This window comes from Homo sapiens, chromosome 6 (genome assembly GCF_000001405.40).
Source record: "Homo sapiens chromosome 6, GRCh38.p14 Primary Assembly".
NCBI lineage: Eukaryota > Metazoa > Chordata > Mammalia > Primates > Hominidae > Homo > Homo sapiens.
Genome location: NC_000006.12, coordinates 37,537,328 through 37,550,877, shown reverse-complemented (window position 1 = coordinate 37,550,877; position 13,550 = coordinate 37,537,328). Strand labels below are relative to the sequence as shown.

Sequence of the window (13,550 nt, the reverse complement as noted above, 5' to 3'; positions counted from 1 at the left end):
GATATCAATACTTTAAGTTGCTTTACTTGGAGAAAGTCATTTATTCCTGGGAAGTGAGTCCTATTATTATCCCCAATTTACTGACAAGGCAACTGAGGCCCACAAAGGTCAAGTAACTTGCCCAAGGTCATGCATCGTGCAGGGTTGTCTATGGAAAGTATTCAGTGTCCGTTGTGTAGCCCAGTGCCCAGCACATAGCGTGCCAGGCACTCAGCATCAGCCCCATTGCCAATCCAGTCAGTGACTTCTAGGATGATGTCATCACAGCCAACACTCCCAGGAACCAGGAGACCTTTCACACACTGCATGGCTGTAGAATTAATAAAGTGTTGTAACCAAAGATTGGAAAAGAGACTAGGGGACTCGGCTCCTGGAGTGGAACTATTAAAAAAGAAAGAAGGCGCTCAGCTCCGCTACAGAGGAGTAAGAATAGGGCCCAGGCCTCCTCTTAGATGCTGGGCAAACACCAGGCGAGGGAGCATCCCTAACCAGCTCAATGTGTCTGCTGTTGGCCATAAAGATGGGGCTTATTAGCGCTATGGTGCTGGGAGAACCGAGGAGTAACAAAACAGCCTCTTTGGAGGGGGTAAAGAGGCAGGTTTATTACCCTCAGCAACGAGGGATGCTCAGGACCACAACCAGTCTCTCCTGATGAGGAGCCACAGCCCACCCCACTGGGACGCGGGGCCACCCCTACCCCACAGTCTCTGGACCTTTGCTCTCACCCGACTCCCCTGGCAGGAGCCAGAACGAGCTCCCTGACCTGTGCAGTCCTCCACCCTCGCCCATCCAGGCACAGCTGCTCCCTGCTTCCTCCTTGGTTTGACTGCCTGCATTCAAATTACTGGCTGTGGGACCTTGGGCAAGTCATCTCACATATCAGGGTCTTGGTGGCATCATCTGTAAAACAGAGAAATAATAGAGGCCAACTCATGGGGTCGATGCGGGGATCAAGTGAGGGCTTGTAATGTGCTTAGCCCAGTGTGTGACGCTGAGGAAACCCTCAGTAAAAGTCGCTTATGATTATTATTAACAGTTTGGCCCTCACTGCACGTTGTGTTATAATTTGATGATTTGATCTCCCCGATGAGACCATGGGCTCTGAACTCTCATTTCCTCATAACAACCCATGACATAGTTATTAATGTCCCCATTTTAAAGACGATGATACTGAAGCTCAAGGAGGGCCCCAAAGTCACACAGCTCATACCAGACAGGAGGCAGGTCCCAAATGTGGACTCTGTGGTCCTTCCACTCTGCTCCAGGACCTCAGCCCGCTCGAGTGGCCTCTGCGGCTCCCAGCTCTGCCGCCTCAGCCTGCACTCTGTGCAGTAAATAGTTAAAGATGCTGCTCCAGGACTCAGGCAGGAAATAATTAAGGGAAAGCAGCCTCAGCTTAGGAGGGCTCAGAAGCCAGAAACCAGGTGTGCAGGCCCCTGGGATGTGGGGAGCCAGGGGGCCAAGAGGGCTCTGAGCTGTGGAAGGGAGCTGCCGCCACTCCCAGCAGAAGCACCAGCCCCAACTGCTTCATCACCAGACGCTGCTGCTGAGAGGGCGTGTGCACAGATACAGGGACACACACAGGTGCAGAGACACAGAGATACACACGCAGAAACAGACCCCCACATACAGAGATGCACACGCACACCCACGCCCACTCACCCTCCTGCAAGGCTGTGTTAGACGGATTGTACCTGCTTCCTAAGGAGAGGGACTGGGTGCTGTGGCCAGAATGGCTGAGGGCTCCTTGTCATATAGGAGAGGTTTGGGCAATTGTGGAAAGTTCAACTCACAGGCCAGCACTGCAGTGGGGAGAGGGGGATCCTAGTGCCCTGTTGAGGATAGAGGGTGAGAGGTCAGAGAATCTTAGGGTTAGTAGATCTGCTCCCCCCTGACCAGCATCCAGAAAATTCTATGACCCTCCCCTCCGTAGAGGTTTCAGACTTTCATGGATATCAGATCCACCTAGGGTGCTGATTAAAAAATTCAGACACCTGGGCCGCCCCATCAGAGATTATTATCCCCACCTGGCAGGAATGGAAACTGAAGCCCAGAGAGGCTAGGTAACTTGCCCAGGACCACATAGCAGGGCTGGTATATGGGCAGTCCAGTGCCCAAGCTCTGAACCACCATGCCAGGCTGTTTCAGGCACCTGCAGACCCAGATGCAGACATCTGAGGACACACCACAACCAGTCCCTGAGGGGAGCAAGATGGGGAGCAGGGTGCAGAGCTGGACACAAAGCCAGGACCCCAAACTCAGCGCTCTGTTCCCACGTGGGCCAGGAGACTCAAGAGAAAAACCTGAGGCCCAATCCCAGCTGCGTGAACTGGCTCGACAAGGCTGCGGGATGCAGAGGTAAGTGCCTAGTGGTCAGGAACACTGGTTCCAGAGTTAGCTGGAGCTGTGTGACCTTGGACAAGTGACTCAACCTCTCTGAACCTATAGTAGAACAAGGATAAAAACAGTCCCCACCACAGAGGGCTGTTGTGAGGATTAAATAAACTAGTACATGAAAATTAGCTAGATGCTAATGGTGGCATCTGGGTGGGTGGCGGTTTAGTCTCCTACAGACTCAGCTGTGGGGTAGGGGCTAGGTGAATGGCCAGAGAGCTGTCTGAGGAGGATTAGTCCACTCCTCTTGGCCCATCCCAGGGCAACTTGAAGCCAGTATGACTCGTCTTCCCCTCCAGGAGAGGGGCAGAAGGGAGGCTAACCCTGGCTCCAGATGCAGCTGAGCTAGATTTTTCTGCCCTGATCGTGGGCTGCCATCTGTGCAAGGCTGGTTGGACCCACCAGCCTCAGAGGGTGGTTAATTTACAACCTGTGCTGCTGCTTGTCCACACCAGGCCAGAGCAGCCTCAACCCCCAACCCCTCAGTCTCCAGCAGAAGAATATGCGAACACTCCTCAGAACAAGTTCCAGCTCGAGTTCCTTCCTTCCTGCTTCCGTCAACTCCATCCCTCCAAGCCTTGGCCTCCCCTCAGCACCTCATCCAACTGGCAAACTTCCAAGGAGAGGCAGGACAGTGAGCAGGCACTCTGCCCAGACTGCCTGTGTTCAACCTCCAGAGCTTACCAGCTCTGCAACCTTGGGTAAGTCGCTTAGCCTCTCTGTGCCTCTGTTTCCTCATCTATACGATGAAGATAATAATAGAAGCCTCTTTTTCAGGAAGATGAGGTTATGGGTGCTACGGAGCTCTGGTCCGCCAGTTCCTGCTGCAAGTCACCGCTGTTCACTCACCAAGAAACAAGTTGGTCAGGAAGCTGCACTGCAGCTGTGGTGTTTTTTTGTTTTGTTTTGTTTTTTTGAGACGCAGCCTTGCTCTGTTGCCCAGGCCAGAGTGCAGTGGCACAATCTCAGCCCACTGCAACCTCCACCTCCCAGTTTCAAGCCATTCACCTGCCTCAGCCTCCTGAGTAGCTGGAATTACAGGCACCTGCCAACATGCCCAGCTAATTTTTGTATTTTTAGTAGAGATAGGGTTTCACCATGTTGGCCAGGCTGGTCCTGAATCCCTGACCTCAAGTGATCCACCCACCTTGGCCTCCCAAAGTGCTGGGATTACAGCCACGAGCCCCCGCGCCCGGCCCAGCTGTGGCTTTTAAGGACACCAGAGAAACACTCATGGAGCCAGAGGTGGCAAATCACCGAATTAGAATTACCCTAACCAGCTGCAAAGAAAAATCCCTGGAGGTGTGTGCTGACTTGATCAGAGGCCCCAAGGAAAGAACTCTCAAAAGTGACAGGACCAATTCTGATGCCTCCCAGGACTTTGAGAATCACCCTGAGAAAAACTTGTGGTGGGCTGGGCGCTGTGACTCACGCCTGTAATCCTAGCACTTTGGAGGCCGAGGCGGGTGGACCACTTGAGCCCAGGAGCTCAAGACCAGCCTGGCCAACATGGTGAAACCCCGTCTCTACAAAAAAAATACAAAAATTAACCAGGCGTGGTGGCGCGCACCTGTAGTCCCAGCTACTCAGGAGGCTGAGGTGGGAGAATCGCTTGAACCCAGGAGGTGGAGGTTGCAGTGAGCCGAGATTGTGCCACTGCACTCCGGCCTGGGCAACAGAGCAAGACCTTGTCTCAAAACAAAAAGACAAAACAAAAACAACAACAACAACAACAAAAACTTGTGGTGCAGGTTCTAAGACGCAGGGTGTCTTCCAGATAAGAATCCACAAGTGACTCATTGACTTGCACCGTCCTCTGAGGTTATCAGCTCATTACTTCCATTAGTAATGTGCCCAGGAGTGAAGGCTGAAGTCACCATTGCAGATGCTTAGGTCAACTATTTTAATTCATTGATTACTAGTTGTTAAAAAAATCATAGCAGCCACCTCCTAGTGCTGTTGTTAGGATTAAACAATCCCATGGACAAGGTTTCAAACAGCCCCAGGCACAGGCTATGGGCTCAATGATCATCAGCTGCTGGAGTCCCTGCAACACGGTGGGTGCGGGGGAGGGGTCAGGGTGTCAGGGAAAGGGATTGACTCAAGGCCTCCAGGCCTCACCCCGGGGAGGAGGAGGGACCTGGTGTGTAACTAACCTGTCATGAGGGGAGAAGGGCCATGGGTGGTGAGGGGGAAGGGAAGAGGGTACCCAGAAGAACAGCCAAAGTCAGGACTGACCTCTGGTGGGAAGGAAATGAAAGTTTGCGCTGAGGCTGTCCTGTCTCCCGCTATTCCTCCTTCCATTCTTCCTTCCTTTTCTACCCCAGTCCTGAGGGAGAGACAGACATGGAGAGATCCGTTGTCAGGCTTCACCCTGCTCCCTGGGCAGGCCTCAGGCCACCAACCATTCTTTTAGGGCCTCCAGCCCTCTAGATAGGCTGGCGTAGGACTCCACTGGGACAGGGTGGTCACTGCTGTAGAAGGCAGGGCTGTGTCCCCCTCAGACTGGGGCTCCCTGAGTCAGGGCTGTGGCTCCCCTCAGACTGCGGCTCCCTGAGGACGGGGCTGAGTCTCCTCCCTGGGAGTCACCTCATTTATCTCCTGGAACAAGACTGACCTCATGGGTGTTCTAGGGAGGGAAAGGATGTTCCATTTACTCAAAAATTCCTTTCTTCTTGCCAATAGGTGGGCCACAGGATAGAGCATTAAAGGGCCTGGTAGAAACTGGAAAGACCTGGTAAGGGCCATGGAGTCCATGCTTGGTGGTGGGGGCTGATGGAGGTTATGTTGCGGACATACTCTCTTCCCTGGTCCTGCCCCTGGCCCCAGCCAGAAGCTTTCTTAAGCTTGCGCCAGTTTCAGGGGGCAGGAAGGAGTGTGGATGGCTCCCCAATGCCCAGCCTTCTTAGGAGCCCCAGAGGGAAGCCCCCGTGGTGTAGGGGTCTGAAAGACCATCTCCACGCAGAAAACACAGGGGTTTATTGAGCTTCAGGGGCTGCCCACTTCGTGTCTGTTGCATAAATAATTGCAAACTCGCAGGCCAGTTCCTCCCCTAGCCTAGACCACTCACCTCTGCCAGCCTCTATCTTCCCAAACCCCGCAGGGCCAGCCCGTGTTCCCCAGTCAGCCCAGCCGCACATTGTGTCAACCTCTCTGTCCCCTCATTGCATTCAAGCCCGGCCTCCACTCAAGCCCTCAACCTTGTCACTCATTCAGGAATGCCCAGGCTCCACCACCAGAGACCCTGGTTCAATTGGCTGGTGGTGGGGCAGCAGGGCATTGATTCCTTTTCATTCCCCAGGTCATGCTAACATGCATGCTAGCAAAGCTGGGAGTCTAAGCTGTAGGCTCCTCCAGAGGAAGGGGAGCTACCTTTTATCTCTAAATCCTAGCATCTAGCACGTGCCTGGCTCATAATAGGTGCTCAATAAATGTTTGTTAATCAATGACTGCCAAACAGATGGGCCATCCCCTTCCTGGAGGTGCCTGAAGGTACCCAGGACTGGAGTCACTCTTCCTCTCCAGCAGGCAAGGCAGTGATTAAGAGCTTCTCTCTGTTGCCAGACAGAACTGGGTTCAAATTCTGCCACTTCCTCGACCTTGGGCAAGTTAAACCTCAGTTTCCTCATCCACCAATGGGGCTGATAATATCCCCTCCCTCAGAGAGTTGTTTTGAGGATGGAGAACACTTCTGTGAAGGCTTGGCTCAGGCAGTCTGTGTTAACCTGGGTCCTGGCAGGAAACAGATGGGTCATTCGAACTGTTCAGGCATTTACCAAAGGGGTCGTTTGCATAGGTGTGGGCTGGGTTGAGGAAAGCAACAAGGAACAGTGCAGAACACCTGGGCCAACCAGGATGGGGAGCTAGCCATCCATAGGAAGGATAGAGAGGAAAGGGGAGGGAGTGGTCAAAGGAACCCAGAGACAAAATTATGCTGTAGACCAGGCGCGGTGGCTCACGCCTGTAATCCCAGCACTTTGGGAGGCTGAGGTGGGTGGATCACTTGAGTTCAGGAGTTCAAGACCAGCCTGGCCAAGCTGGTGAAGCCCTGTCGATACTGAAAATACAAAAATCAGCTGAGCATGGTGGCAGGCACCTGTAACTCGGGAGGCTGAGGTGGGAGAATCACTTGAACCTGGGAGCTGGAGGTTGCAGTGAGTCGAGATTGTGCCACTGCACTTTAGCCTGGGCGACACAGTGAGACTCTGTCTCAAAAAAAAAACAAAACTATGCTATAGGCAAGGGGCCATGACAGGTACCATGGACATTGAGGAGGCAGCCAGTGCCATCCCAAAATATCTACCCCAACCTCACTCACCTTCCTCCCTCCAGTCTCCCATCATTGGGTAACACCACCCAGAGAAGGTCCCAGGATGCAATCCTGAGTCAGCCTCCCGGGGCACAGTGCAGGGCAGAAGAGGGGGGAGAGTGGATTTCGAGGAGCAAACAGAAGATCTCCAGCACTGATATCAGCCAGCGCTGATTAAATAGTATTGCTATTATTACTGTTCATTTGGCCCGTGAACCCTCTTGTGATGACTGACCTTGATATTTAACTGTATTGTATGCACACACAGGGTCTCCTTGGCGTAGCAGATGGCCTAGGGGCAGGACCAGGTCCTTGCAGCAGGTGTGGCAGGTGCCCCGTGCATACTGGAGGAAGAAAGGACTACGTCTTTGCACCACAGCATACTTCCACGTTCAGCCACAGGCATTCACGCTTTTGACAAGCCATCAAATGGCTTTTCTATAGCAAGCTTCATTAAAATGGAAGCACATTGCTCTAGTATGCAGATGGGGCCACTTTATTACTTTTTAATTTGTTTACGGAAAGCCCATGTTTGGTGTACACCATCTTTGCAAATAGTAACAAATGGGCATGTTTGCTGCCTCCAAAGCTGTGGTGTCCCTGGATAAATAGACCGAAACCATGTTGGAGCACTGCGCTTGGTTACTCTTAATAGAATCTGACATGCTCTTCAAAATGTGCAGAAGGCTGGAGGGAAGGGGGCCACAGTGCGTGTGGCATGTGGCTTTGGGTGACTCTAGTCCCTCTCTGGGCCCTCTGTTTCAATCTACACAGTAAGTGACCAGGCCCAAATGGAGCCTTTGCAGCTCTCCTATTCCACAACTTCAAGATTTCTCTACCTTTACCATCCTGGAAGCTACAAACCTTCCTGAACCACCCGCCTCCCAACTCCCAAAGGAAGCCCTCTTCACTCAAATGAGATAAAACTTACAAATTACCAAATTCATTTAAAAAATGGGTCAAATTGAATGAAGAATACTTAATGGAGCACAACTATTCAAATGGCAGTTAAACACTCCTACAATAGACCCCCAAAGCACCAATATTCTCAAACTGATCAGGACACTCCAATTCCAGTTTCATTCATTGTTAGCTGTGCATTGTTGCTTAACCTCTCTGTGCCTCAGTTTCCTCACTGGTACAGTGGGGATAATAATGATACCCTCCACCTGGGTTGTTGGGGGGATTTGATTCCTTTTTGTGGTTTATTTTGAGGCAGAGTCTTTCCCCATCACCCAGGCTGGAGTGCAGTGGTGCGTTCACGGCTCACGGCAGCCTCGAACTCTTGGGCTCAAGGGATCCTCCCACCTCAGCTTCCCAAGTAGCTGGGACTACAGGTGTGCACCACCACTTCTGACTAAATTTTTTAAAGTTTTTTTTTAGAGATTGGGTCTCACTAAGTTGCCCAAGCTGGTCTCAAATTCCTGGCCTCAGGAGATCTTCCTGCCTCCATCTCCCAAAGTGCTGGGATTACAGGCATGAGGCACTGCACCTGGCCAGGATTCGATTCTTCTAACCATTCAGAACAGGGTGTGGCATCAGCAAGTAGTAACTGTTAATTACTGTCATTGTCCTTATGCATGGTAGCAGTAGTACTTCTATTAAAGAGAAAGGACTTGGGACTATCTCTGTTACATAAAGTGGCCCATTCAGCAGAATCTGTCCTGTCCCGACCACACCTAAGGAAGGACACTTGCCCTTCAAGTCACTTTCTATCACACTCCCCCGGTTTCTTTTTTTCAAGGCACTCATCATCATGAAAAAAAAAATCCTTTTTATGTATCTTCCTATTTGTTGTCAGTCTCTCTCCCTCTCGGCATGGGCTCCACGAGGGCAGGGACCTTGTGTCACTCATGGCTATCTCCCCAGTGCCTAGAACAGCATTTGGCAGTTTCTCCATAAATATTTGTCAAACGAATGAATGTCTACATCCACAAAGTGTGCAGTGTTGTGCAGACATGAGCTCTGGGAACTAAGATGCTTGTTACAAAGGCATTGGTCAAAGCCGGGCCCATGGGGAAGCCACAATACACACAGGCACACCCGACCTCTGAAGTCTGAATTCATGGGACTATCCATTAACTGGATCTTTGTTTTAACTTTTAAGATAAAACAAGATCAGAAAAGAATGCAAGGAACAAAACAATATCCTAATCCTTTACCTCCTGGGCCTCCCCCCCAGGGACCTGGGATAAGGTGACACCTTGTCCTGAAAAAGGGTTCCCAGGGTGCAGAGGCTCTGTGGTAAGGAGGATATGCCATTTTGGGTGACCGGCATGTTACAGTTTAAAAAGTTATCTTGGAGCCATCATCTCACCTGAGATCTCCTTGTGAGGATGGAAAGCCCCCACGCCCTCTAAGTGTTATTGCCCCCATTTTACAGATGTGGAAGCCAGGGGAAGAGGCAGAACTGACTCGCCCTTCTCACAGCCTACCTATGGTGCCTGCCGATAATACCTTATGGCCTCCTCAGAAAGGAATACTAATAACTCCGCTAAGGCAAGGGACAGGATTTGTGCATTTCTAATCAATGTTCAACTGTAGGAGAACGAAACTAAAAGGAATGGGCTATTCTCAGTTAACCAGTGTATACTATTAGCCAGAAACACACACACACACACACACACACACACACACCGCCCCCAACATTCTGGCTGGAAGTATACCTTAAAGATCATCCCACTGGGTGCCCTCAGAATTTCAGAAAGTATATGTGTCTAATTGATCACTCTAGCAAAGATGCAGGGGCCAACATGAGGAAATAAAAAGGCTGCTTCTCCTGAGAAGGGTTCAAAGGCATTCTATTATTATCATTGACAGTAATAACACTCAACACTCAGTAAGCTTGCACTAACTATGCACCAGGTACTGTTTTAAGCCCTTCAGACCACAGCAGCTTTGTGTTGTATTATTTTCCCCGCTGCTTTTTGTTGTCGTTGTTGTTGTTGAGATGGAATCTCTGTCAGCCAGGCTGGTGTGCAGTGGCGCAATCTCGGCTCCTTGCAACCTCCACCTCCTGGGCTTAAGCAATTCTCCTGCCTCAGCTTCCCGTAGCTGGGACTACAGTATTTTTAGGAGAGACGGGGTTTCACTATGTTGGCCAAGCTGGTCTCGAACTGACTTCAGGTGATCCACCCGTCTCAGCCTCTCAAAGCGCTGGGATTACAGGCCTGAACCGCCACGCCCAGCCATTTTTCTCACTTTATAGATGAGGACACGGAGGCACAGAGAAGTGAAGGGACACCCTCAAGATAACAAAGCTGGTAGGTGGCAGAGCCAGGATTCAAATCCAGGCAGACAGACTCCTGGGCTCACACTCTTCACTCTTACAGCCTGTTGTCTCTCCAAGGGAAAAATCTTAGGAAGTTTTTTAAAAAGTAAAAATATACGGTATGGTATGGTTTGGCTCTGTGTCCCCACCCAAATCTCATGTTGAAACGTGATCCCGAGTGTTGGAGGTGGGGCCTGGTGGGAGGTGATTGGATCATGAGGGTGGTTTCTAGTGGTTTAGTACCATCCCCCTAGTGCTGGCTCATGAGATCTGGTTGGTTAAAAGTGTGTGGCACTTCCCCTTTGCCCTTTCTCTCCTGCCACCATGTAAAGAGGTGCTTGCTTCCCATGCACCTTCCTGAGGCCTCCCAGCCATGTTTCCTATACAGCCCGCTGAACTGTGAGTCAATGAAACCTCTTCTCTTTATTAACTGCCTAGTGTCAGGTAGTTCTTTACAGCAATGTGAAAACAGACTAATACATAGTAATATTGGTAAGAATCCATCTTATTGCTAAAATTTTAAATCACAAAGATAATTATTAGTAGTGAAAGCTCATGACTGTCCTGTTGGCCGTAAAACCTTCCATGTAATAGCATTACCGGCAAGTGAGGCCCAACATTTTGGCTGGTGGACATGAAGGAAAGAGCGTTTGGGCCACGGTTATAAAACATGTGTCCCAGCATGATTACTCCTGGGTCTTAGAAATGGTGCACTCATCTCACTCCTGCTCTCCTTTTACATATAAAGTATGTGAAGCCCAGAGAGGTTAGGTGACTCACCAGAGGTCACACAGCAAGTTATGGGGGAACTTAACCACTCAATTCAATGAATGCTTAACATCATATCTGCCATTTGATTGAGTTATGTTCTTTGCATTAGAAGCCAGAGAGAAGCCCAATGCCAGATCAGGATGGGCCAAGTTAGCCAGCAAAGGGCTAGAACTAGTTCCTTCCAGGGCTCCAGTCACAGCCCAGGCTATTTTCTGCCTAAGTGCAGCTGTTGCTGTGGGGTAGTCACTTAAGGGTTTTAGCCCTTGGCTCTCCTCAGGAGAGGAAAAAGGAAAGACCAGAGCCTACTGATCCTTTTGTGTGAGGGCCAATGAATACCTCACACCTTTCAGAAACTTCCAAATAACCCTCTGCCTTCCAGTAATTCTAGGAGAATGGAAATTGACTCCCACCTGCCTCTCCTACCACCATTCAAGCTAATGGCTTGGGAAGAGGCCAGAGACCACTTCTCTGTGTGCCTGCAGTCTCCTCCTCCTCCTCCTCCTCACAGGCCCGGGATATTGATCATCTCCATCAGTGATGTCACAGGACTGGGTGGGGAGGAGGCCACTCCCCTGCAGGGGAAGCTGAAGACAGAGATCTTCAGCCATGCAGCCGGGAAGTGGGGAGAGCAGAGGAAGGGGGCCCAGGAGCCCCTCCGAGGGTCTGTGCTGGAGGCTTTCCAGTGAGGCGACAGCAGCTTATTACAGCTAATTTCCTTCCCCTTGCTAGAACCAAAAATCCACAGGGTTTTCGCTGCATATTTGTGTATCTGGCACTCTCAGCTCGCCTCCCCTTGGGGACCATAAGAGATGCAGAGGAAAGAAACAACATGGCCTTCCATAATTTCAAAGTCAGTTCCAGAGTTAATAATAAATTAAGAGCTGGGGGCGGGGTGGAGGCCTAGATGTGGCGGGCCCACTCTTGCAGCGTAGACCAGCCCCTCTGGGAACATCTTCTGGAAGTCAGGAGAAAAAGTAGGTGCCCTGGGGACCGAAGACACTGAGGTGGTCCCACTGTGGAAAGCTTCCCCCTGGACCTCAGGTTTCTGTGGTACCCACACCAGGATGGATGGGGATGGAGGTGGGAAGAACTGGAAAGTATTCTCTCCCACTTCTCTCCGGAGCAGGCACCAGCGCCATCGGAGCACCCAGTAGTCCCACAGTCTCTGAGGAGGGGGAGCATAGCTGTTTCAGAGAGAACAGGAAGACTTCTCTACATGGAAGACGACTAAACCCACTCACCTCTGAGGAGGTTTCCAGACCAGCAGCCATACCAGTTGGAAATCCAACAGTCCCAAATGCCTGTGTGATTTTGTTATTCATTCTTTAGGTCCTAGGAAGACTATCTCCCAGACTAGAAGCTCCCTGGAGACCAGGGCCTCTGACATCTGACTGGAAGCTCAATCACTTCTTGTCAGAGCTAGAGTGTGAGGGGACTGGGAAGCAGCAGGGAGGATACTAGGCAGGTTTTGCCCCAAGAAGGTGGAGTAGGGGATGAACAAGATCGCTGCCCTGAAATATCTGAAGGGTGGTCCTGTAGGCATGGAGTTCACACCTAGGCCAACAAGAAGAGCTAGGATGAATGAGAGATGACACAAGGGACTCGACTTGGGATCCAGAAAAGGGTGAACTTTCTGGGAGTGGCTCAGCGAGAGGCAGTGAGCCTCCCACTGCAGGGGGAGCTTCTGGGGAGGGGCCCGGAGCACAAGGTGGCAGGTGGACCCGGTGGTTGTTAGGATCCTTACCAAGCCCAAGAGTCAGTCCGTGATGGATAGATGTTCCAGTCTCTTCCGCCCCTACACCTAGAGCTCCCCCTCCTGACCACACAGAGAGGGACCAGAGGCAAATGTGCAGGAGGACACAGGGACCCAATCCCAGCCAGGGAGGCCACCAAACAAATCAATCAGGCAAACAGCCACAGGCAGAGGATGGACACAGCGGGGGCTGGTGTGGGGCTCTGTCCCCCTCTTCCCCACCCCATGGCCTAGAGGACAGTCCCTGTGTCTGCCAGCTGAACAGGCTAATAAATAGGAAAATCTGTCTTCCCTGCTGATGGAGAGAGTGTTCTGTCCTCTCCACCGCAGGGGAGTGAGGCCTCAGCTCATCCTGCATGCTACAGGGGACCCACTCATTCTTCACAAGGAAAATGGGGCAGCACAGAGCCGGGGAGTGACTTGCCCGCAGCCACACAGCTCACACGGCTGGTAAGAGGAAGGGGCGAGGCAGAGCCCAGGACTCCTACCCTACTGCCAGCCAGTATCCTTTCTCCTGCCCTTGCCTGCCCCTGTAGCACCATCTGCTCCTGCAGCAATTGGGATTCCTTTTAAAACATATGTTCATCTCAGGCAGGTCCCAAAGTGGATGGAGAAATGATATGTATGTTCTTTGCTGGCCCCGGAAGAGCTGGCAGAATGAGCTCTTGACATTTCTGGGATACTTCCAGAAGCATTCCCGGGAATGCTTCTGGTCTCCATGCTTCCTCCCCACCACCATATTCTCTCCCCAGCATTGGGGAAGCATGGATTTGTCATTCTTCTCCTCCGTGTGCCCATCTGCTTCCTTCCAGGAACCCCTCCACACCTTGAAGGCCAGGCCAGCTCCTCCAGCTCCTGATGGGCTGTTAACAAGAAATTTGGAGGCCAGACCCCTGTGCACACTGCTGAGGAGCCCAGGGCAGTTCAGGACTGAACACAGCCAGATGTGTTCAGCAGGGACCATGACCTCTCCCCGCCTACGAGTAACAGGAACTAGTCCTGGAACTAATCCACATCTCAACCCAGACCCCAGAAGTCCACCCTCCTTCACC

General features: G+C 51.4%; 1 long non-coding RNA gene across 1 annotated transcript, besides 5 other annotated features; it reads left to right on the top strand.

The window, feature by feature from the left end:
* Window positions 734–843: an enhancer, noted in NCBI's record as "active region_24467". NCBI's record gives its function as "activates an Ori minimal core promoter by ATAC-STARR-seq in GM12878 lymphoblastoid cells {active_cell/tissue: GM12878}" and the evidence as "EXISTENCE:reporter gene assay evidence [ECO:0000049][PMID:35858748]".
* Window positions 964–1,023: an enhancer, noted in NCBI's record as "active region_24466". NCBI's record gives its function as "activates an Ori minimal core promoter by ATAC-STARR-seq in GM12878 lymphoblastoid cells {active_cell/tissue: GM12878}" and the evidence as "EXISTENCE:reporter gene assay evidence [ECO:0000049][PMID:35858748]".
* Window positions 1,034–1,103: an enhancer, noted in NCBI's record as "active region_24465". NCBI's record gives its function as "activates an Ori minimal core promoter by ATAC-STARR-seq in GM12878 lymphoblastoid cells {active_cell/tissue: GM12878}" and the evidence as "EXISTENCE:reporter gene assay evidence [ECO:0000049][PMID:35858748]".
* LOC124901312 (uncharacterized) lies at window positions 1,630–3,940 on the top strand. The gene is made up of 3 exons (XR_007059567.1): window positions 1,630–2,358; window positions 2,850–3,095; window positions 3,172–3,940. It is a non-coding gene; the product is annotated as an uncharacterized LOC124901312 (long non-coding RNA).
* Window positions 4,650–5,259: an enhancer, noted in NCBI's record as "H3K4me1 hESC enhancer chr6:37513395-37514004 (GRCh37/hg19 assembly coordinates)". NCBI's record gives its function as "activates a minimal SCP1, AML or CMV promoter by ChIP-STARR-seq in naive and primed H9 embryonic stem cells {active_cell/tissue: H9 hESC(naive and primed)}" and the evidence as "EXISTENCE:reporter gene assay evidence [ECO:0000049][PMID:30033119]".
* Window positions 12,641–12,870: an enhancer, noted in NCBI's record as "active region_24464". NCBI's record gives its function as "activates an Ori minimal core promoter by ATAC-STARR-seq in GM12878 lymphoblastoid cells {active_cell/tissue: GM12878}" and the evidence as "EXISTENCE:reporter gene assay evidence [ECO:0000049][PMID:35858748]".